General features: G+C 47.9%; 2 protein-coding genes across 21 annotated transcripts in view, besides 1 other annotated feature; both read left to right on the top strand.

The window, feature by feature from the left end:
• Nucleotides 1–23,115, top strand: part of TMEM164 (transmembrane protein 164) — a 181,883-nt gene that overhangs the window by 154,764 nt on the left and 4,004 nt on the right. For 14 of the 20 annotated variants that reach the window (XM_047442570.1, XM_047442569.1, NM_001353851.2 and 11 more), the window contains 2 exons: nucleotides 14,288–14,388; nucleotides 16,113–20,656. In XM_047442570.1, the coding sequence (XP_047298526.1) occupies nucleotides 14,288–14,388; nucleotides 16,113–16,319 (308 nt within the window). In that variant the 3' untranslated portion in view covers nucleotides 16,320–20,656. Of the gene's footprint in view, nucleotides 1–14,287; nucleotides 14,389–16,112; nucleotides 20,657–23,115 lie in introns of those variants that run through there. The other 6 variants (NM_001353849.2, XM_047442566.1, XM_047442565.1 and 3 more) reach the window with 1 other exon arrangement.
• Nucleotides 3,463–3,996: an enhancer, noted in NCBI's record as "H3K27ac hESC enhancer chrX:109403823-109404356 (GRCh37/hg19 assembly coordinates)". NCBI's record gives its function as "activates a minimal SCP1, AML or CMV promoter by ChIP-STARR-seq in primed H9 embryonic stem cells {active_cell/tissue: H9 hESC(primed)}" and the evidence as "EXISTENCE:reporter gene assay evidence [ECO:0000049][PMID:30033119]".
• On the top strand, nucleotides 18,641–20,656 carry LOC124905230 (uncharacterized). The gene is made up of 2 exons (XM_047442708.1): nucleotides 18,641–18,685; nucleotides 18,784–20,656. The coding sequence occupies exons 1-2, from the start codon at nucleotides 18,641–18,643 to the stop codon at nucleotides 19,264–19,266; spliced, it is 528 nt and encodes a 175-aa protein (XP_047298664.1). The 3' UTR covers nucleotides 19,267–20,656.

Below are 23,115 nucleotides of genomic sequence, written 5' to 3' on the forward strand. Positions count from 1 at the left end.
TAGGTAGGGATAAAATAGGACTTAGAGAAAGCCTTGGGGAACATCAACTTGCAAACAGTAGACAGAAGAAGAAGAGTGTAAGGAGATTGCAGGAAAGATCAGTGATAGAAGGAGAGGCTGGTTGTCCTGAAAACTAAGGCAGTAGAAATTTTTCCCAAAGTGGTATTAGCCAAGCCATGTTGGATCTAAGAGGTACAGTAAAATCAGGTCCTCAGAGAAGTGGGAATTACAGGGAAGAAGTTAAGGGCATTAAGGAAGGAGGGGTTAAGGGTGTTACAGAGCCAAGGGAGGGTGTTTCTCCTCCTCCTTTCTCCCCCTCCCTTTCTCTCCTTTTCACCTCCTTTTCCCTTTCTCTCTGCCCCAGGGCTGAGCATGTTCAAATGCTAAACTGAAGCCCAGTAGAGCCAGGGAACATTGAAGGTACCAGAGAGAAAGGGGAGTGGATGAATTACAAGTTGATGACAACTGCTGAGAATGACAGGGGTTTGGTGGTGGATTGAGAAGGGTAATGACAAGAGAAATAAGTGCTGTGGGAAATGGAAGAAGGAGATAAGCCTAGACTCTCTCAACACTGTCCAATAGAATTCTCTGTGATGATGAATATATCCTATATCTGTTCTATTCCACATGGTAGCCACTAGCTACATTTGGCTTTTGAACAGTTGAAATGTGCCTGGGGGGACTGAAGAGTTGGATTTCTCATTCGATTTTAAGGTTAATTAATTTGAATTGAAATTGATTGGTTGGTTGATTGATTGATTGATTGATTGATGAGATGGAGTCTCATCCTGCCGTCCAGGCTGGAGTGCAATGGCGAGATCTTGGCTCACTGCAACCTCGACCTCCCGGGTTTAAGCGATTCTCCTGCCTTAGCCTCCTGAGTAGCTGGATCTACAGGCACATGCCACCATGCTTGGCTAATTTTTATATTTTTAGTAGAGATGGGGTTTCACCATGTTGGCCAGGCTGGTCTCAAACTCCTGACCTCAAATGATCCACCCACTTCAGCCTCCCAAAGTGCTGGGATTACAGGTGAGAGCAACTTTGCCTGACCTGAATTGAAATTTAAATGGCCATATGTGGTTAGTGGCTATTGGACAACATAGCTCTAGAAGGTTGGTGACTGGCACTGTGGGGCCCTCCTGAAAGAAGAATCCGTGGATTTTTCTGGCACTGGTTTGTACGGTTACCCCATTTGGGGTTCAGCAGCCTAAGTGGAGGTGCAGGACATCTGGCTGGAGGGATCCGTCCAATGTTGAGGCTTTGTAAGTAGGGTCAGTATTGTTGAAAATCTAGAAAGTGAGGGATGTTTGAGGGGTTCTGGAGAGTTTTGGTAATCCTGCAACGCACTGTATTGCTTTCAGGTTTCTGACCAAGGACAGGTCACCCAAGGAGCAATAGCAGAATGGGAGACAGAGCAGCACTTTATTATTAGCTGAGCAGGCATCCAGTATCTTTAGTGCTGGGCGAGAGCTTGCAGCTTTGTTCTCAACATCTAGGTGAGCTTCCCACTCTGTACCTAGAGAATATAATGTGGCTAGATGTGTAGCACAGGCCCCCCCATACTTTCCACCCTATCAAAGGCATTGAGAAGCTAGAGAGGAAAGTGAAGAGGCCTGGCTATGCAGAGAGACAGGTTCTGCTGAGATGTGCACGACGAAATACACATGCTGCCCATTACAAAGCTAGACTACCTGGTTTCAAATACTGGTTCTCCTCCTTACTAGCTGTGTGACTTTGGCCAAGTTCCCTTACCTTCTCCAAGCTTCAGTTTTCTCATCTGTAAAATAAAAATAATAACAGTACTTCCTCATGTGGTTGTAATTAGCATTAAATGACTTAATGTATTAATATATAAAGTGCTTATAACAGTCCCTGTCATGTAATGGTGGTATATAAGTTGTTTGCTATTATTAGTATGGTTTCAGCTTGCCAATATACTGTGGCCCTGCCTACTAATCTAATAAAATGTGGTTTGAGCAGTTTTTTAGGTTCTCACCTTTAGTAAGCCACCCTTTGGGGATGATCTAGTGAGGGGATAGATAGAAGTGTGGGGAGAGGGGGATGAAGAGTTCTGCTTCCCACCAGGGAGTTGAGAGTGCTGGTGTCAGAGTTCGAGGCCATGGGGTCCAAGCTGGTGTGGAAGAAAGGCTAGAAGAGAGCTGGGGAACAAGGAGGAATTCTATGGAGGGAGGTAAGGAGCATCAAGGGATCACAGGTCACGAGGAGGTCTAGGGGCATGCGCATAGTAGGAATAAGGATATGAAAGCTGAACTGTCGGGAGGTTGTGGTCAGATGATCCCAGCAGAGGCGGGGCAGTTCAAAGTGATGACAGAAGGCAGGTTGTGGTTAGTGCGGTGGAGTAGACCTGTAGAGTTGAGGAGGTTCAGGAGGCCACGAGGTTAGGGTATTGGAAGAGGTGCCTGCATGGATGTTAAAATCACCCAGAATGCCATCAGGAAAAGGTATAAAAGAAGGTGGTAAGCTAAGTGACACTGATCTGAGGTGAATTCAATGACCTGGAGGCCAACAACAGGTGACAGTGACAAAGAGGAGGAACTGAATCTTGAAAGAGAACGAGGGAAGAGTAAACGTCTAGAAGCAATAATGGAGGGCTAGAGGAATCTTCAACTTCCCTTCCCCCACAAAAAATTGCTGCAGGAATAGAAGGATTAAAAAAGAACAGCCTTCTCAGAGCTGTTAGTGGAAGAAATCACACCCTCAGTGGACAGCCAGGGTTCCTTAGGGTGAGGAGGTGAAAGGGACATTCTGGGGAAAGGTGGCAGGTATAGACAGATTGGTTGATCATAAACACCCCAGGCCAGTGGTGGTGGTGGGCTTCCAGAGGTTCTAGTGGGATGGGTTGGGAGGAAGTCAGCCACAAGGTGGTTGGAGGAAAGTGCCCACACAGCTTTAGGCCCACAGCTTGGTCCTGCCTACAGCTGGTGACACAACTCAGGAGTTCCCCTCTCTTCATCCTTGTGATGTGTTTCGATTGGTTGGTTGTGTTTGTTTTCATTTCGGCAGCAGTTCTTAACCTGGGGTTCACAAATAGGATCTTAAGGGGTTCATTCACTTGAATGGGGGGAAGTCACATCTTTATTTTCACTGACCTCTAGCAGAAATGTAGCACATGAACGCAGACAACAAGCACCAGTGGTATTAGCCCTACCTGTGTCTTTGTTGTCAGTAGCAATCACAGATGGCTTCCTATCACATTTCAGTAGTAGCGGCCATCTCAGGATAGTGTTTATGCTCATCTGCTTTGAAAGTGATGGTAGTTATTAGGCCTGCTGCTAGATCTTGTGATTAAATGTATTTATAAAGAAACATAATTAGTATATTACAAAATTTTAAAAATATTTTGGTAACTGTGTTTTAATATAATTGAATTCCTTTGGCTTTTATTTTATGCATTTCAAACACTGTTCTGAGAAGGAGTCCTTTGGTCTCCCCAGGCTGCTGGGGTGCAGGGGGTGGGGTGGAGGGCCTGCTTCAAGTCTGCTGGGAAATCCCTTTCTATTTCACTAGAGGGAGCTCTTGTTTCAGAATTGCTGAGCAGTGACCCTCAGGCTTGACACCCAGTAATAAGGTTGTTTTTTTGTTTTGTTTTGTTTTTTTGTTTTGAGACAGAGTCTTGCTCCGTCACCCAGGCTGGAATGTAGTGGTGTGATCTTGGCTCACTGCAACCTCCACCTCCTGGGTTCAAGGGATTCTCATGCCTCAGCCTCCTGAATAGCTAGGATTACAGGCATGCGTCACCATGCCCAGCTAATTGTTGTAATTTTAGGAGAGGTGGGGTTTCACTGTGTTGCCAAGGCTGGCCTTGAATCCCGAAGTGCTGGGATTACAGGCGTGAGCCACCGTGCCTGCCTGAGAAGGCTGTTTTGAAATACAGGCAATTCAGATGTTTTTGGAGGACATTTCAAGAAACTGGGGTTAAGAACCTCAGTGTTGTTTGTTCTAGGCAGGCCACCTCTCTCTTGAGTGGGCTTTCAGCTCATCTTCTGGAGGATGAGGATTGGACCTCCTGTGCTAGTTACTTTCTGGGACCAGTTAAAGCGGAAGTACTTTGGCCAATGGCAGCTCAAAAACTGGCCCCAAGGTCATGCTGACATCAGTATCCAGGCTGAGTTTCCTGTTTCTCCTCCATACCATTGAGCCCATTGCCCCTCCCATCTAGCTAGTGTTAGGATGTTAGAGAAGTTCCCCTCTTCCATGAGGCTTCCCTGCTCCACTATACTGGTCAGGTAAGGGCAGGTGAAAGTATAGGAACTCTGGTAAATCCTGAGGCTCCTAAAGGGTTAGTGGATGAGGGGGGACCTGAGGGATTTGACTGATTGGCGAAGGGCTGAGCCTTGTGCAACAGGTGGGTAGGTGAGTTTCTGAAGACCACTGGATTGTCCCTGCTGAGGAAGAAGTGATTGGTGCTCAGGAGTCCTTTGTGGGAGCAAATGGTTAAGTCAAGTGTTTTCTGCCTTAATTTTCTCACCTTCCAGGAGACACTGCTCCTCACACCTGGCCAGACTCTGTCCCCTTCACTGGCAGCTTTTCCCAGGTCTCTTGGTTCATCTTCCAGCTCCAGGATTCCCTCTAAGTCAGTGTTTCTCCTATATGGTTGGAGGACCCAAGCATCAGGATCATCCTGAAGCGCTTGTTACTACAGTGGAGATTCCAGGGCCCACTCAGACTTCCTGGATTCAACTCTATGGGGCAGGGCCCAGGAAGCTGCATTTTCCACAACTTCCCTAGGACAGTTGTTTTCAAAGTGTGGTCCCTGGAATAGTAGTATCTGCCTAACCAGGGAACCTGTTATTAATAAAAATTCTCAGATTCCAGATTCCAGGCCTCACCCTAGATCTACTAGAAACTCTAATCAGAAACTCTGAAGTAGGGCCCAGCAAGCTGGATTTTAAGAAGCCCTCCTAGAGATTCTGATTTTGACCCACACTCAAGTTTGAAAGCCACTGCTGTAGCGGATTCTGATACAGAACGAGTTGAAACCTTGTTGCCTCAGATGATCCAAGAGTTGGCTCCCCCTTGCGTAAAGCTCAGCAGAGACACAGCTAAGGTCACACAGCAGCTTGGTAAGAGTAGGTAAGAGTAGAAGCTGGGACCTGGGTCCTTGGACTTCAGTGCATATTCTGCTAGGTCAGGTCCACCTGTTGGATTCTTTGCCAATTCAGGGCCCTCATCCTGTGTACTACTGTCAGGGGGCTGCCTCTCTGATCCTCATGGATGAAGGTGGGTCTTTAAATTGCCTTAGCCACAGGCTGGGTGGCCAGTCAGCCCCAACTAGGCTCTTCCAGGGTGAAGCATGGCCTGGGTAGACTCTCCAGCCTCTTAGGATGGGAGGTTGACAAGATGGACCTTCCCTGTGAACACTTAACCCAGGACATCCTCCACTTCCAAGTACAGTAAACAGAATAGAGGATAGGTTTTTTTGGTCAAATGCCTGGATGAGGGGAAACCTGACTTGAGCCTACACTCAGTGGCTAAGAATGGGGAATCAAATATTCACGATCATCTTGGGGTTGTGCCATGCTGAGATATCTTTTAGGCAGCCACAGCTTACAAAGGCTAAAAATGGAGGTATCTCATTTAAAGAGTACCAAAGATGGGAATACATTGTTGTCAGGAACCAAACTTGTCATTCTCTTCCCTATCCCCAAACCTGTACCTTCTCTGATGTTCCCCATCCTTTTCAGTGATACCATCACCTATTTGTTATCCAGGCCAAAAATCTAAAGCCAATCATTGGTCTATATTCCTATCCCTGCCCCCATCCAATCAGTGACCACATCCTATTAATTTGACCTTCTGATCATTTCTCAAATTTATTTCCACTACTCCAACTTTAGTTCAGGTCAGATCATCCCTGACTTCGTTTATTGCAACAGCCACCTAACTGGTTTCCCAGCCTCTAGCCTCACCCTGTTTTGTCCTCAGGGCACATAGGATGAGGCCTGAGAATTGGCCATTGGATTTAGCAATGAAAAAGTCATTTGTGACCTTAATGGGAGCTGTTTTGATGGAGGGAGGGAAGCCTGATAAGAGTGAGTTTAAGAGAGAACAGTAAGAGAGAGGAATTCTAGGTAGGGAGTATACCAGTGCTGTCCAATAAAAACATGTGAGGCACATATGTAATTTCAAATGTTCCAGTAGTCGCATTAAAAGCAGGTAAGAGAAACAGGTGACATTAATTTTAATAATAGATCTTACTTAACCCAGTATATCCAGTATTTTATCATTCCAATATAATCAATATAAAAATTATTACCAGGATATTTTCCTGGATTTCCTTTGAAATCCAGTGCACATTTTATAATAACAGCACATCTCAAGTTCAAACTAACCACATTTCAAGTGCCCACCAGCTGCATGTGACTAGTAACTACCACATTGGACAGCACTGGCATAGACAATTATTTCAAGGAATTTAGCTATAAAGGGGAGCAGAGGAGTGAGGTAGTGGCCAGATGGGGAAGTGAGGTCAAGTGTTGACTTGTTGGTTTTAGAACGGGAGCTATTAAAGTACTTTCCGTTTATACACTAATGGACTTAATCCAGTAGAGAGGAAGAAATTGTTGACATAAGATGACGAAACAGTGACTGGAGTGATGCTGTTGAGTAGGGGAGAGGGGATGGAATCTGGATGCAAGTGGAAATGCTGGCCTTGGCTAGGACACAGGGCAGTTCATCTGTGGTGACAGGGAGCAGGGGAGTGAAGGAAGACCATACTGGGCACTGATGCAGATAGATGGGTAAATGTGATTGTGGAAGCTTATGGAAGTTTTTGTCTGATTCTTTTTTTCCTCTGTGAAGTGGGAAGCAAGGTTAATATCTGAGAGTGAAAATGGGATAGAAGTATTAAAGATTCGAGAAGAGAGAAAATATTAATTTGTGGCCTAGGAGCGTGACAGAGTGAATGGACTGGGGAAATACAGTATGATTGCCTGGCAACATGAAAGATGCACTTGAGGTTTGTGATCACGAATTTGAAGTGAGAACAGTCAGCGCTGTTGTTTTTCTCTAGTACATTCAGCTGTGAGGGACAAGCAAGGCAGAGGAGGAGCTTTGGATTCAACCAGGGCTGGGTTTTTTTTCCAGCTGAGTATCATTCCATAATGAGAAGAACAATGGAGTCAAAGGCGTATGCAAGGGATAATTAGAATCATGGGCCATGGAATTTAAGGACAGAAAAGGGAGCCATGAGGGACAGTAAAAAGATGGTAGGACCAATGGATCACAGATTCCAGTGGGGTCAAAGAAGTATTGGGGTCATGGTTATCGGGAGTGAGCTGGAAAGGTAGAAGTGGTGGTTGAAGTGGGAATGCTTGACTTGGAGATTAGGGAGGGGCTACAGATATACATAATTATAAGGTCTCAGGCACGACCATGATAATGAGTGGCTGAGATGTGGTAGAGAGCAGGGTCATTGAGAACAAGAGGCCGAGGAACTGACAGACCAGGATGCTGGAAGGTTCATCTAGATGCATGTTGAAATTAACAAGAAATCTGATGAGTGGTAGTGAGCCAGGTACTAAAGGAATGAGGGCCATGACCCATATGTCTGTAGATGACTGTGAAAGGGAAGGATAGCGGGTGGTACAGTATGGTAGTGGTAGGATTTTAGTGAGAAGGGAGGGCCACTCGTCTAGGACTACAATGAAAAGAAAGAAGTTATTCACTCTACCTACATGGGCCAAAGGAGAAAAATCAGTCACTACTTTAGAGGGCCACAGATGAAGCAGGCAAGGAGAGGTAGGTTGGGTAACAACAAAAGGGTGAAGGGAACATTCAGAGAAGAGATTGAGAACATAGGAATTGAGCTAATGATTTATCTGTGATTGTTGCCTATCCTGTTCCCTTTTCCTGGAATTTCCTTCCTTACCTTGTACACATAGAGAACTCTTCATCTTTCCTCATCCAGCTCTTGCATTGCTACTTTCCTGAAACGGCTATTGCAAAGATTACTAACTAGTGATCGGCATGTTGCCAAACCCAGTGGAAGTGCTTGCCTTTACTGTACCCCTATAGAGAAGTGTGTTCCCAGTGGAATTTTCTGTGGTGATGGGAATACTCTATCTCTGCACTGTCCAATATGGTGGCCACCAGGCACATGTGACTGCTGAGTATATGAAATGTGGCTGATGTGACTGAGGAACCAAAGTTTTAATTCTGCTTAATTTTAATTCATTTAAATGTAATTAGCCACATGTGGCAAGTGGCTACCTTATTTATTGGTTGGTGCAAGTAATAGAGCACTTAACATTATTGATCCTTTCCTTCTTGAAACTTGATGTTCTTTTGACTTCCAGCACACCTCTCTCCTAGCTTTACGATTGCCTCTTTAATTTTGTCTTCATTCTTGACTTCTCATGGATCTTTCTCCTTCTGCTAGCCACTTAACTGTTGCTATTTTCCAGGCTTCCTCCTTCAGCCTTTTATCACATTTTGTGGACTCTTTCTCATTGATCTTATCCATACCCCAAGTCCTGTTTCCAGGCCATCTCCCTCTCCTGAGCACTAGACCTGGACATAACAGCCTATTGGAGACATCTGCTGGTGTAGTGGATAGGCATTCAGTGCTGGCATGCTCCAACCTGAGCTCATCTCTTCTCTAAATTACCTCCTCTCAGTTACTGAAGCCATAGACCTGGAAGTTAGTCTAGATGTCTCCTTCCTGTCTGACAAATTGCCAAGTCCTCTATGCCACTGCAGTACCATTTGAACTTGTCATCAGTCTTGTCCCTCTCCAGTCCATTGTCCACATTGCTGCTAGAGCAGTCTAGGTAGCTGAAACATAAATTTGACCTTTTTATTCTCCTTGTTAAAACCTTTTAGTGGCTTCTCATTGTATATAAGATAAAGGCCAAGTTCCCAGCATGGCAAACAAGGCTCTTCATGACCCAGCCTCACCTGCATGTTTTTCCAGCTTCATCTCCTGACATGTGTCCCTTCTCACAAAGTTCTCTCCTTTCCAGTAACGCAGAACTCCTTCTAATTGCACACAAACAGCATGCTGTTTCATGTCTCCACAGCTTTTCTCAGGCTATAACCTCTCCTTCCTTCAAGGCCCTACCCTAACCCCTTCTGGTTCTGCAAAGCTCACCTCAACTGTCATCTTCTCCAGCTACTTTTCCTCAGTGTCCCTGTTACTTAATGCACTTACCTAACTACACCATTGCATTATTCACTTGTAAACGCAGGTAGTTCCCAAGAGTGGGGACCACCATCTTTGCCTCCTTCTTTCCACTGTCTGGCATGGAGTCTTACTCCCAATGTGGACTCTGTAGATGTTGAGTGAATGGGTACCATGAATAAGTGAGTGAGTTGAAGGAAGCAGGAAGAAGATTAGAGAGTGGGATGTCACACTGCCCAGTCTCATCTCCTTAGTATAAGTCCTTCATGGGTGGGATTATAGGATGAGAAAAGGGGCCCCTGGGAGGCCTGTGGGGATCAGTCTTGGCTGCTGCTGGTGCAACTGACTTCTTTCCCAGGACTCATAAAACTTGCTTCTGGCAGAAATTGATTTTAGAAAAAGCTATTATCTAGGTTTTCCCCTACCTTTACAGCTGACATGCTTCTCTCTTCCTGGGATATAAGATGCTAGCAAAAAATGTCACATTTTTTCTTAAAGGAGAAAAAGGTTTTGTATGTTTAATTTTTTGAAAGTGCTTAAGTTTCTGTTTTCTTTTAGAAGAAAACTGGTTTTTCACTGGGATTTTCCCAAGGGCCACATGCAGGTATACAGAAAAGAGAATGATATGTGTTTGCATACAATTTGCATATATCTGTGTAGACTGGATCATCTATTCTCAGAGTACTTTCTTTTTTTATTTTTTCAAAAAAATTGAATACTTGATCAACTTTTCAATGAAAAGAATCAGTAACAGTGAAAGGCAATGGAAGCCATAGTGGAAGTCCTCCTTCATAGAGAAGATCACCTCTTTAGAAGATGCCCCATCATCTTCTAGTCTTTTATAAGATTTTGGATGGTTGTGGTCGCCATGATAAAAAATAGCAGCAGCCATCTGCATGCCAGGATAGCTGTCGTATATACTTTTATCTCTCTTTTTCCACTCACCAGCCCTTAGAGGTAGATGTTACCCTCAGCCCACCAGCAGGAAAACAGGCTTAGAGGGGCAGCACAATTTGCCCAAGGTCACTCCTATGGGTAGTGGCAGAGCCATGATTCAAACCCAAGGCTACATGGCCCCAAGGCCTTTGTTTTTAAACTACTAAGCTGTATTTTCTGCCATTTGTGTACTGCCTGGTGTTTTGTCTTTTGTCCTTGCCATTACCAGCCATAGACAGATACATAGTTTGGCTGTCATTTGAATGGTAGTGGACTCTGTTGCACAATGTTGAGGTACCATAGTTTATGTAACTATCTCCCCACTTGGTTTGTTTCCAGTTTCTCAGTATTATAGATAGTGCAGGTGTAAATATCTTTGCGCAAATTAGGGTGGTTTGTTGGAGTTTTTAGGTATTTGATGGTGGTCCGCAAAGTAGTATTTTTGAGGCAAAGAGTTATAATTTTATGATTCTCCAGAAAGTCTATACCATTCATTCACCCAAGCAGTGATTACTTTTGGAGTGCCCACTGTGTACCAGGTGCTGGACGTGAAGAGGTAATTCAGAAACAGCCCCTCTCTCAGAGAACTAACAGTCTGGTATGGGATGGATGATGCAGCACAGAATGAATGCTACTAAAGTCGGGGTTTGGGCAAGGGGCAGTGAGAGCACTGAGAAACAGTGTCCCCTGGTAGTATCTCTGAGTGTTCCTTTCCCTCTGCAGCATGGGGCAAGACGGGAGGAGCATGATAACAGGGCTGGCTGCAGAGCTGCCTCCTGGCTGAGGACACCCCCCACCAACACCCACGGGCTTTCCTGCCACCGCCTGTTGGCTCAGTCACTGCTGCCCATCTGCCACTAGGGGGCGCCGAGCAGAGAGGATGGAGGGAGGGGGCACCCGGGACAACAGGACTGGGGGCTCCAGCAGTGGGAGGAGTGGCAGCCTAAGCCCTTGTCTGTCCTCCAGGCCTCCTCTTCCCCTGTATGCCCACCGCAGCCAGGGTGACAACACGGTGCCCAGTCCACACTCATTCAGCAGACAGGAATGTGTGCATGCCTTAAGGGCATAGCTCTGTGCATTTTCACGCACCAAGCACTGTGCTAGATGCTAGGAATGCAGAAGTGGCCTGACATGGTCCTTGACCCTGAGATGCACTTGGTCTAGAGGGTTGGACAGACAAGGGAAGAGACAATCCAACTTGTGTGCTGGAGGCCTTCACAAGTGGCAACAGGAGCGTTGAGCTCCCTAGTGAGTCCCCTGGCAGTGCGTGAGAGTTCATTTCTCCAGTGCTCCGCTCTTATGACTTTGGCTGTGACATTGCCCATCTTCTAGCCTGGAATTTCTCCATCTATAAAATGGAGGGAATGATATCTATGTCTGCAAGGGCCTTCTGACTCAGATGTGCCATGAGCCTAAAGCAAGCCTGAGCTTCTTCCACAGAAGAGCCCCCAGCCCTGGTCCCCACTTTAGTCACTGAAGAAAGTCTCCTTTCTCTTCTCGCCCACATGCTCTCCTTACATGGTTTTCCTTGGCATTCTGCCTCTGGCCTTTTCCTTCTCTCTTTCTACGTATGTTCCCATGACTTCAGTTACCACTGTGTGCTGATGACACCTACATCTCCATGCTCGCCCCCATCCTCTCCACTGAGTTTGTGACTCATATAACAATGAAAATAATCAGCATTTGCTAAATCCCAGATACAATACTGTAATTACGGTATATTATCTCATCTCATCTCTCCAACAACATTGTGAATTAGGCAGTGCCACCCCATTTTATAGGTGAGTAGAACCGAGTTCAAGAGATGCTGAGACTTTCCCAAGGCCCCAAAGTTGATAAGTGATGGGGCCAGGATTTGCAAACCTCTACCTGTTGAGCTCCACTGCCCATGCTCTTATCCATCACACTATATGTCCTAGAGTACAGGCAGCCGCCAAAGACCCATTTCCACTTGGATATTCCACATACACCTCAATTTCATGTCTAAACTTGGCCTCATCATTTCCCTTCTGTCCCAATCTGCCTTTTCCTCTCTTCTCCATGGCAATAAATGGCACCATCAACCCAGTGATACCCCAGCCAGAACACTGGGAGTTTTCCAAGATCCTTCCTCTCCCTTACCAACCCCCATCTCCCCAACAATCTTCTCCAATCTTCTTCCACATCATGGTGATTTTCCCCCCACTCTCCTCCAGCCTCACTGCTGTTGCCTTCCAAGGCCATTCATCCTGTTCTCTTTTTGGGCTCCTGTAGCAATCTTCTTACCAGCCTCCCTGCCTCGACTCTGTCTGCTTGAGTCCATCCCCTGCACACCAGCCAGGGTGATCCTTTGCAGACACACGTGATCACCTCACCTTACTGCTTCAAAACTTCTGCTTTCTGTGACTCTACAGCAGAGCTCAAAGCTGGCCACCCATGGGCTGAAATCCATTCAGAAGACATGTTTTGCTTGGTCCAAAATGTTCTTAAAACATTTTGAATTAGTCGCCAACATTGGAAAATCAGGAAATTTCACATAAAAGTTCATATATATTGGCTTCTCTTGCAAAAGTGAAAAGAACTGGTAACTCTGGGTGCACATCCCTTCAGGGCAATGATTGGATGGAGCTGAGTGGTGGTTGCCCTCTTTAGAAGGGGTGTGGGCTTTTCAGTTTGACAGTCTCCAGCATCCCCTAGTGTCTCTTAGGCCCTGGTCGCACCCCTGCTTCCAATTATCTGCCTGAGAGTTGGGGCATTTGAGTTCATGACCCTGGTGCATGGGATGAAGCCCAAAGCCCTCAGCATGGCTTCTAGTGTCCTATGTGTCGCAGCCTGGAGCAGACCAGCCCTGCGAACCTCTGAGGCTAGTACCTGCTAACTGCCCCGTTACACTCTCCCCTGTGGCCCCATGGAACCCTTATCCATAGTTCTCTGAATTGCCCCACTCTTGTCTGTCTCCATGCAAGCTTGTGCTTTGGAATTCCTAGGCCCCTCCTTAAGTCCTATTTGTCCTTCTGGGCTTTGCACCAGTACTTGCTGTACCAAGAAGCATTCCTTGTGCCCCTGGCTGAGTTTTGTTTTCCCATAACAGGTGGCGCAGACCTCAGTCATCCCACCAGCTACCCTGTGTTGTAGTTGTTGACTGTGAGTCTGCAGTTGCAGGGAACCTGCCTTCTTTATCTTCCTGTCCTCAAAGCTTTGCACAGGACTTGGAATACACAAGGTGCCTCATAACTGTTGAATGAATGGATGAATCAGTGAAAGACTGATTTGGGAAAATAATAGTCTAGGATATGATGTCAACCCTAATTGCTTGGGGTGGGGGTTCCAGGTCCCTTTCATTCTTCAGCATTCCCCACTCTGAGTTCCCACTCAGAGTGATACCCACAACATCCTATAAACCATGCCCCCATTCTCCAAGATGTGGAATATATCCAGGCCTACTGGGATGATACTTTTTAGCAATGATAGAGGGAAAATATATCATTTTTGGTATCCCTGGGGGAGAGTTGGCACATTCTTCAGTTATTTGAATAATAATTAAGATAATGCCAGCATTTAACACTCACTGAGCACTTACATTGTACCAGACCCTGAACTAAGAGCTCTCAGTATATTGTTTCATTTATTCCTTCAACACTAAGAAGTAGGTAGTACTATTGTCCCCATTTTACAGGCAAGTAAACTGAGATACAAGGATTTTAAACAACTTTTCACATGGCCCGTAAGCGGTAGAGTCAAGATTTGAACTCAAATCTAACTTCATAGTTAACATTCTCAACCACTACACCATACTTCCTCAATGACATTTCTCTTTAGAAACACGAGGAAATAAATGTGGGAATGAAGGGTATACAATTATGTGTACAGTAAGATTGCAAATACTAATTTAGAAAAGAAAGAAAAGAAAATCCTGAGGCAGAGAAAATGACCAAAGAGACAAACTCATGTGAAAATTTTCTTTAATGAATACATACCACTTTTATGATTAAAAAAAGAGTCCTCTCTTTGTAGTGACCCTAGAAATAAGTGGCAGGACAGAGGGCAGGAAGGGGCTGGGTTGAGTACCCAGCTAATCAGTGGGGCTGTCTCTTGAGTAGTTGCCAGTGATCAGTAAAAGGAACAGTCATCAGGCAGCAGCTGTGACCTCAGTACCTGCACCCTCATGGTACAAAGGTGAAGTGGGTCACTATTCCTGCCATCTCACCATCTCCCCTCTTCCTCCAGGTGCTTACACTCCAGAGCCCCTCAGCAGTTTCCGGTGGGCTCTTCTCTCAACTGGCCTCATGTTCTTTTATCACTTCAGCGTCTTGCAGATCCTCGGCCTGGTAAGTTTGGTTATATCCCCTTCTATCCCCTCTGTTTGCAGTTCTCCATAAATCTTGGTAATCCTGGTTGGTGCTGACGTATCACTTTGTTTTGAAAATGCAAGATGCTAAAGGCCAGGATGTCAGATTGTTGTGTCTGGATTGCTGATTTATGATCTACAGCCTTGGCCTCTCCAAAGAGTTTTCTGAGTCTTTCAGTAATGACTGTTTCTTTCATCCCTGGGGAGGCAAGGATGCCTTTCACTCATGGCCACTTGGGTCGGAAACAATGAGCTGCAACTGGAAAGTGGTTTGTTGTGGACCCCATGGGGAGGCAGGACCCTAACCCTGCCCCTTGGCCTGGGGGAGTCTTCTGACCTTGGGTCCATCCTGGGCCCATTCATAGGCCCTGAAGGCTGCACTCTTCCCTGAGCTTCATGGCCAGTGAAGTGTGGTGTTGGGGAAATCCTGTGGCATTCTGGGGTGTTTAGAACTTCCTGGAGTCATGAAGAATGGTTGGATGGTTGGACTCAGTAGCTGAGTTATCCAGAGCCCAAAATTGCTGAGTGTAAGAGTGTATATCAGTGGCAAAATGAGTAGGAAGAGCTCAGGACTGGGGCTGGGGGTCAGGAGACCCAAGTTCAAGTCCTGGCTCTGCCACTGCTCTGAATGAGTCACCTCACCCTTGAGGGCAGAGAGTTCTCCACCTCTCTTTGACATGGTATAAAAGCCCCAACTTCCCTGAGAGGTGGTGAGGACTTGTCTTTAATGTGAACAGGCTTGAAGGGCTTTGGAAGGCAGGTGCCGCGACCGTCCCCGGGGCAGGTGTCGCATGTCTGGTTTTGTGTGCAAGTGGCAGTAATGTAGCATTAGCCATGTGGAGCCTCGCGTGACCTAGCATGACTAGGGCGTGTAACTGATGTCCCCAACACCTTTGTAGAAGCAGTCACTTTCTCTTCCTCATTCTGGTGTATGGCTCTGCTCTGGTTTGCTGGGGGCTTAGTCTGAGCTCCTTGCCAACAGTGTGAATGCTTCCTGCGCTCTCAGGAGGAAGCCGTACAAAGTTCACACCCTTACCACTTGCTGCTCTCCACTGGGACCCAGATTCCAGAGGCATCAGTGTGCTCATGTCACCCTACATACCATGCTCAGGCAACGCCTCCTACAAGGAGGGCAACCCTCACCCCATTCCTCACCATAAACCCCCATCCATCTTTCATGAGTCCATTCAGGTACCACTTCTGTCATGAAATCTTCTCTGAGGACTCAGCCCCCATATTGTATGCTCCTCAGACCTCCTCATAGTGTATAAAGCTGGGTGAGCCCTGTCTGGTTTGGGGTCAGATGTAGTAAACCTTTGACCACCCCCACTTGATTGATTGCAGTTACGTGGAGGCAGGGCCCACGCTGTGGGCTGTACTTTTAGCCTGTAACACCTCTCCGGGGTCTAGGCACATAGTAGATGCTCAGGAATGGCAACAAGTTCTGGGCCCAAACAGAAGGCAAGACCGTGAGCAAAACTGAATAGCTTTTCCACTAGACGGCCCTCCGCCATCACCTCCAGAGGCCTCTAGCTTGACTCACTCAGAAAACCGAGGGGAGAGAAGAAATCCCTTTATAAACAGGTGGGGATTGGTCAATCCCTCCTTGTCTAGTCCCCCATTAGGTAGAGATGGCTGAACTGGCAGAAGCCAGAGAAAGCCTAAGGATGGTGAACGCTCACTCTACCTCCCTTGTCCCTGCAGGTCACCGAAGTGAATTTGAACAACATGCTGTGTCCGGCCATCTCAGACCCATTCTACGGCCCCTGGTATCGCATCTGGGCCTCGGGACACCAGACTCTCATGACCATGACCCACGGGAAGCTGGTCATCCTGTTCTCATACATGGCTGGGCCCTTGTGTAAATATCTGCTGGATTTGCTCCGGCTTCCAGCCAAGAAAATAGACTGAAGGTGCTTATTTTTTTTTTTTTTCCTCCCTGAGGAAGCAAGTCGTGACTTGACTTGGAGAACACCCAGTTCTTGATAAAATCATGGGAGAGGGCAGTAGGATGTTTGGTGTATTTCTTTTTCCTCCTTTCTGTCCCTTTCTTCTACCACTCTTCCTTTCCCAGCTCTTCCCCCTACGATGTCTCCTTGAGCCTGGGGTGTAGTGCTGGGCGCTGGATTTTCCTCCTTCCCTTTGGCTCTCTCTCTGCTCCTAGTGGCCTTACATGGGGAGATTGCAGTGAGCGGCTCTTTCACTCTGCTTGTCGGTGCTTTAACAACAGCTGGTTGAGGAGAAAGGGAACAACAAGTAGTAGTTCTTTTGGCATCGAAGCAATGAGATTGGGTTGTGTTTCATTTCTCCACTGCCAGGGACCTCCAGGCTTATGCTGGCGTCCCATTTAGTCTCCAGCACAGCCCTTACCACGGGGGACTGAGGCCTTGTTTCTATACCAGCGGCAAGCCCAGAGCCGAGGGATTTCACAGCTCGTGGTCAAGACAGAACCAGCCAGATTCTGGTCACTGGTGTCCCATGACTCAAAGTAAACAGCCAACCAGCCACTCCCTCCAGGATGCTGCCTGGGGTGGGAGGTGAGAGCACCACCCAGCCCAAGGGCTAGATTCCATTGAGAGGGTTGGAGATCTATTGCAATGACAAATCCAAAGTGAAGAGGGTCAAGATATATACAGTACTAGGCCAGACCCTGTGTAAGTTCTGCCTGTGAGAGTTGAGAACTGATGCATATCCCAATCAGAAGTGAGCACAGAAAACTGTGATTTGAATCATACACTCTGTTTTAGGAAAATGTTGATAATAGATACCATTTTAATCTTGAGTGCCCCTTAAATGTGTTCCCTCTCCCTTTCCCTCTCCCCCCACCCCTCCCCCTCCCCCCTCCCTCCCTCTTTCCCTCTCTCAGGCAGCTTCAGGGAAGAATGAGCTGGAATTGGCTGGTTGGTTGGTTTTTGAGTTTGGAGAATCCTCGCATCAGGGCCCATTTCTGGAAGATTCTGTAGATCTGTTTCTTGGTTTTACAGGGCCAGTGTTGTTTCCCTAGGGCCAGATTTCTTCAGTGTATCCACACTCAGTGCTGAATTGTTTAATGTGGGGGACATCACGTCCTCCTCATCCTGTCTACCCCCAAATCCCATGTCTAGGTTGAAAGGGGGCTGCCAAAGAATTAAGTCCTCATGGGTGGAGGTTCAGGTGCTCCACAAGGAGGAGCTTTTGTTGAAGGACTTCAGCTCAGTTATGCACGGACCTCAAGCAGGCAGGAAGTGGCTGGGCATTGCTGACTCCACATTGACTCCCACTAGGAACAGATTTGCTTAAGAACAGAAAAGCTCATTTGGTGATTTTGTCTGATGAGCCTCCCTTCCCCTGTCCCACTCTAGGCAACACAGTTGACCTAGACCAGTTCCAGTATTTCCAGTTTGACCGTGTTTGACCTACACTGAGCTTCGGTGCCTCAGTGGTCATAATTTTAGCAAGTGGACCTATAGGAAGCAACCCTGGGAGGGACCGTCCTTCTGCAGAGGCCTGCGGGCATTGAGGCTATCAATCCCCAGGGCTTGGGGAGCAGGAGGGGAGGGCACCAAGTGCTCTTACTCTCCTGAGCTCCTTTTGATGCGTAAGCTTTGTTTTTGGCCCTCTTTGAAGGCAGGGCCAAACTTTTCTTAGTGCCTCTCACCTTAGGGTGGCCCTCCAGGGAAGGTGCTCCTTGAATGGCTGGATTGGCCCTGCCCACCGTCAAACTGCTACATGTAGGAATAGCTGATGAGGAAATACACAAGGCCTCAGTGCCCCTTGGCCTCTTTACAAAAGGAGAAGTTGGAAGGGGATTGTGGGAGGAGCCCCTGGGGGCCTGGTCTGTCCTCCACCAGAACTTGGAGTTGCTGCCAGCAGAGGATCTGTGCCTCAGCTGAAGACTAGCTCCGGAATGTCATAGGGGTGTGACTGTGTAGGCCTTCTCCTCCTCCTCGTTTCTGTGGCATGGCACAGGTTGCCTGGTTGCTCGAGCCTTCCCCATGTTGACATCCTCCACAAGCTTGCCTTTGCTCTGTCTACAGCTTAGTACCCCATTCTGGAGGGCACTTTCTGGTGCTTGGAAGGAGAGAAGAAAGCAAAAGCCACATGCCTGGCATGGCCAAGCCAGAGACAGATCCACCTGTCAGAGGAAGGAAGAAGTAAAGGGGGCATGCAGGGCTTTTGGGGGCCAGATTGGCTCAGAAACATGTAGGTCAAAAGAATAGAGGGGGCCCAGTCTATAGGCTTCACAAGGAGCCATGGCCTGTATTTGGGGCATTGGGGAGCATAAGGCATCTGAACTGGTCCAGATCTCACTCTTATCTTGGGCCAAGCCAACGTGGAGAGAAGCAACCCAACCAGACTCTTGGCAGCCTGCCTTACAGGGTAGCCCACCTTATAGGGTAGCCCTCATATCTGCCCTGTGCCGGCCCTCTACTGCCCCAGCTTTGGTACAGGAGTGAGGGAGAAGCTGGAGCTTGCACACCCAGTGGCCAGTGGGGCTGTCTTCCCAGCTCCTCCTCAGGGCTTTCCTGTCAGTGCCAAGCCAGTTCCCCAGCCAGGTTTCCGTGTGCCATTTGCCAGCGTGTGGGAGCTCTGCGCGTGTGTGAGGGTGTTTGTAGAAGAGGGCAGTTTCCTTTCAAATGGCCTTAGGAAGGGAAAAGAGTACTCCCTCCAGCCCCTAGGTAGCCTTGGCCAGGGATGTGGGCCAAGAACAGTCTGTGGAGCTGGCCAACTTGTGGCATCCACTCCAAATAGCAGAGACCCAGTCACGCCTGCTTCTGGTCCTCCCTGCCCTCAGTATTTGGTTTTGTACACCAAAGATGATCTGGCCCATCTTCCTCCCAGAGGCACAACAGTAACATGTTCCTCTGTCAGCCTGTGAAGGCATGCAGGGTTCTGAAGCCACAGACTCAGTCTCCCCAAGTCAGCAATCTCTTTCTCTCTCTCTCCTCAAACTTCATCGCATTCATAGAAGCTGCTTGCAGGGTCGCCGGGCTAACCAGGGTGATCGGCGAACTTTACCGTACAGTACCTCAGTCTAGCTGTCAGATCACCCCTTTTGCTGTAGCCTCTGTTGAGGTTTTTATATTTGTGATCATTGGTAATTCAGTGTCCTATGAAGTGGGCACAGCTCCCCACAGAGAGCAAGTTGTCAGCAGGTCTCTGTGCACTGGTATTGGGGCAGGGCAGTGCCCTGGGGGTAAGCTAGGTGGCTCAGGGAGTGGCAGAAGGGCCATTTTTCCCTCTGCCAAAAAGACTTCCTTGGATTTGTAGATGTTGACCCAGAGTCCTCTGTCCCCTCCTGAAGAGGATTTTCTTACTGGTTTCTACTGAAGGGGAGGTAGGGGAGGAGGAAAAAAGGACCATGTGTGATGCTGTTAGACAAGACACTGACGCTGATTATGGAGGGTCTCCTGCAGGCCCTTGTGGGCTCCTTGGCAAGGCCCCAGGCTGGGAAGGAGCTCCCCCCACTGCCCATCCTGCCCGCTTTGTGGCGGGTAGAGTCAGTGACAGGGAGGCAGCCCTCCTTTTGTGTATATAGAGTGAGCTGATTTGGGCTCAGGAAAACCTAGTCGCTTGTTGCTCTCGTCTGTGACATTTTTGTACACTGGTTTGCTACTCATGGCAAGAAACAGACAAAGCCCCATGAAAAATAAAACAAAACAAAAGTCATTTCAAACAAAGCTGTTGTTTTGAAAACTCTTGCTTTCTTTTGGTGTCCATTTTGTGTTCTATTTTAAAGAATCTTTCATTTATATTGGTGTTATTGTAGTGAAGAGAATGTGATAGGCTGATCTGTAATGGTTTCTGTCAGGAGCTTAGCAAATGCCTCTGCCCCTCTTCCCCTACCCCTGTCCTTCCTCAGTTCCCAGCTGGGATTGCTATGCACTGGGCAGACCCGTCACTGTCTCCCCTGAACCCCCACACAGTGGCTTCCCTTAGAACCAGTCTTTGTACTCTCCCTAAACAGCAGCAGGCTTAGGATTTTTGTCAGGCTGGTTCTTGCGTGCTCTGTGCCCCCACCAGTTTGCTCACCTCTTGGGGCATTTTGTAATGTGTTTTCTCTGTCTTGTAAAACCTTTTGATTGTACCGAAATGGTATCTGCAGTCGCCTTTGGAAATAAATGGTCATTAATTTGTGTACTTAGCATTCTGAATTTTAGTCTCAGGTGTTTCTGTTGTTGAAGATCCTTGAATGAAAAGGAACCCTCACCATGGGGCTTACTGTTATAATGTTTCTTCATTTACTGTTATTAAAAGATTTATGAGAACCCAGGAGTCCTGGCCTTGCTTCCCAGAACCCTCTCAGAAGGCCCTCTGCTTTGAAAAATAGACAAAAGGGGCCTCTGGCCCTCCGTACTGTGGAAGACCCTCAAAGGACAGCTGGGCTTTCTCAGCACACTTTTGTCCTGGGAGCTGCGTGGCTGGTTGCCCTTGAATTCCCACACATTGCCTACTTCTGCCAGGGACCCAGCAGGCCATTTGCTCTTAGCAGAGGGCTTGTCTGCCGGGCACGTTTGCTGGGCTCTCTGGTACCCAAAGTGCATTGGGCTAGGCTGGAGGACTGAGCTGGAGAAGGCAAACACATTCAGGCCCACTCAACCTAGATTTCCTGAGGGCCAGCTCTGCACCAGCACTTCTCAGCACAGGCCTGCACCCAGCATGGGTCGGACCATGAACAAGATAGCCTTACCCTTTGGAAGCAGACCTGCTTTTCCAAGGCTACCTGCTGAGCAGCCCATGATGACTGTGATTGGCCCTTTTTACACAGGACAGAGGCCCTGTTCAGGCTTTCACCTGGGCTGCTGTTTCTGGAGAGGAGAGGTAGCCAGATAGGGAGGGGTAGCAGAACTGAAAGGCACAGGAAGAAAGGGGGCCAGATATGGCGAAGGGGAAGGACGGAAAGAGGCTGGTGGGGAGGAGGTGAGGAGAGTTGGTTCGTGTCCTTCCCCCATGTGTTCTTTTTCAGGAAGAGAGCTGAAAAAGACAATGACCTAGGCCATTGCCATCCCTACCCTGGGCAGTCTTTGTACAGCTAGCCAGACCTGGCAGCCAGTGCAGGTGGATCTCCTCATTTGCCAGTGTTTGGGCACCCAGGCTATGAATGAGGCAGGGTCTTGCAATTGTGGACTAGAAGATTAGCAGCCTAGAAAAGTCACTTATCTTGCTGCCTCAGGTTCTTAATCAGCAAAGTAGTAGCTCCAACTGCACACCAGGCATGGAGCCAAATCCCTCCCATTACCTCTTAGAATCCCCATCAAAGTACAATTAGCTGACTGGCAATGCTGTCCTTGTACGGTAGGGAGAAAGTGAGAACATGGAGGTTTAGTCATAAATGGAGGAGCTGGAATTGGAAACTAGTTTTGTTAGACCCCAAAGCTCACATGCTCTCCACTCTCCACCAGCTTCCACTGCCTTTCCAGTGTGCTGGCACTGCTGGGTAGACCCTTGCCCAGGGACCCCTGGTCCTTATAGAAGTGGAAAGAGAGCCGGGCAGTGGTGTGGAAGATGAGAGAGAAAGGGGAGGCCCACGAGTGTAGAAAGCAGAGGAATCAAGGCCTGTCAGCAGCAGCCTCAAAGCAGACCTGAAAGGCACAGGAAGAAAGGGGGCCAGGTGAAGGGGAAGGATGGAAAGAGGCTGCGGAGAGGAGGTGAGGAGAGTTGGTTTGTGTCCTTTCCCCATGGGTTCCTTTTTAGGAAGAGAGCTAAGAAAGACGATGACATAGGCCATTGCCATCCCTACCCTGGGCAGTGCATCTGCCCCTACCACCATGTCCATCCCCACCCTAGTCTGTATTCCCTCCTGCAGGCAACAGTCTTTTCCAGTGCAGATCTGCATCACTTCCCTGGGCCACTGGCTCTAGAATATAAAGCCCAGGCTCTTTCATGTAGCATACAAGCCCTGGGCTTTGTAAGCATCTTCAACTACATCTCCTCCACCCCACACTCCCAAAAGAAGCATGCAGAGAAACACTTCACTCCAGCGGGATCGTACTCCCCTTTGGCATGCCACGCCATTTCCCAGGTCCTTGCCATTTGTTTCCTTTGTGCTGTTTTCTCAGCTTCCCACTCTCCCGTTTCATCCTAAGGCCTCCACTCAAAGGTTAGCTCCTCTCTGCAGTCTTCCCTGAGCCCCAGGCTATGTTAGGTGCCAGTCCACTTTGCTCCTACAGCACCTGGTACTAACTCTGGCCATCATTTGCCTCCCTCTTACGTGATTCATTACTGGTCTCTCTCCCTCTGTAGACATTAAGCTCCTTGAGGGCCAGGTGGGGTCTGATTCATCCTCCAGCCCCTGGCACAGGACCCATTCCATGGAAAGTGCTCCGTGAACAAGGATCTTACACCTGAGTGCTAAAATATGGTAGGAGGCACCACTGTTCTCTGATGGAGAACCCTAGGCTACATAAGCCATGCCCATCCTATGAATTCTCCTGGATGGGGCTGGGATGCCTTTGTTTGCCCAGGCACCTCAAGCTTCTTGCTGAGGGGCCCCATCCTGTTTCTCTGCAGGGCTCTATATAGTTGGTGTCCTGGATAAGGAGGCAGTATTGTGAGGGAAAAGCACTAAGACCAACAGCAACTGTTCACCTGACTCTTTCCTGGACCTCTGGGCAAGGTGTCCAACTGCTTTTCCATATCCTTTATAGCTCTTCATCACCACCAGGGTCACCCCTTCCTTCCCTGGAGGCACACAGAGTTGGTGTCTGCATGGCAAAAGCCCCACCAG

Source organism: Homo sapiens, chromosome X (genome assembly GCF_000001405.40).
Source record: "Homo sapiens chromosome X, GRCh38.p14 Primary Assembly".
Lineage (NCBI taxonomy): Eukaryota > Metazoa > Chordata > Mammalia > Primates > Hominidae > Homo > Homo sapiens.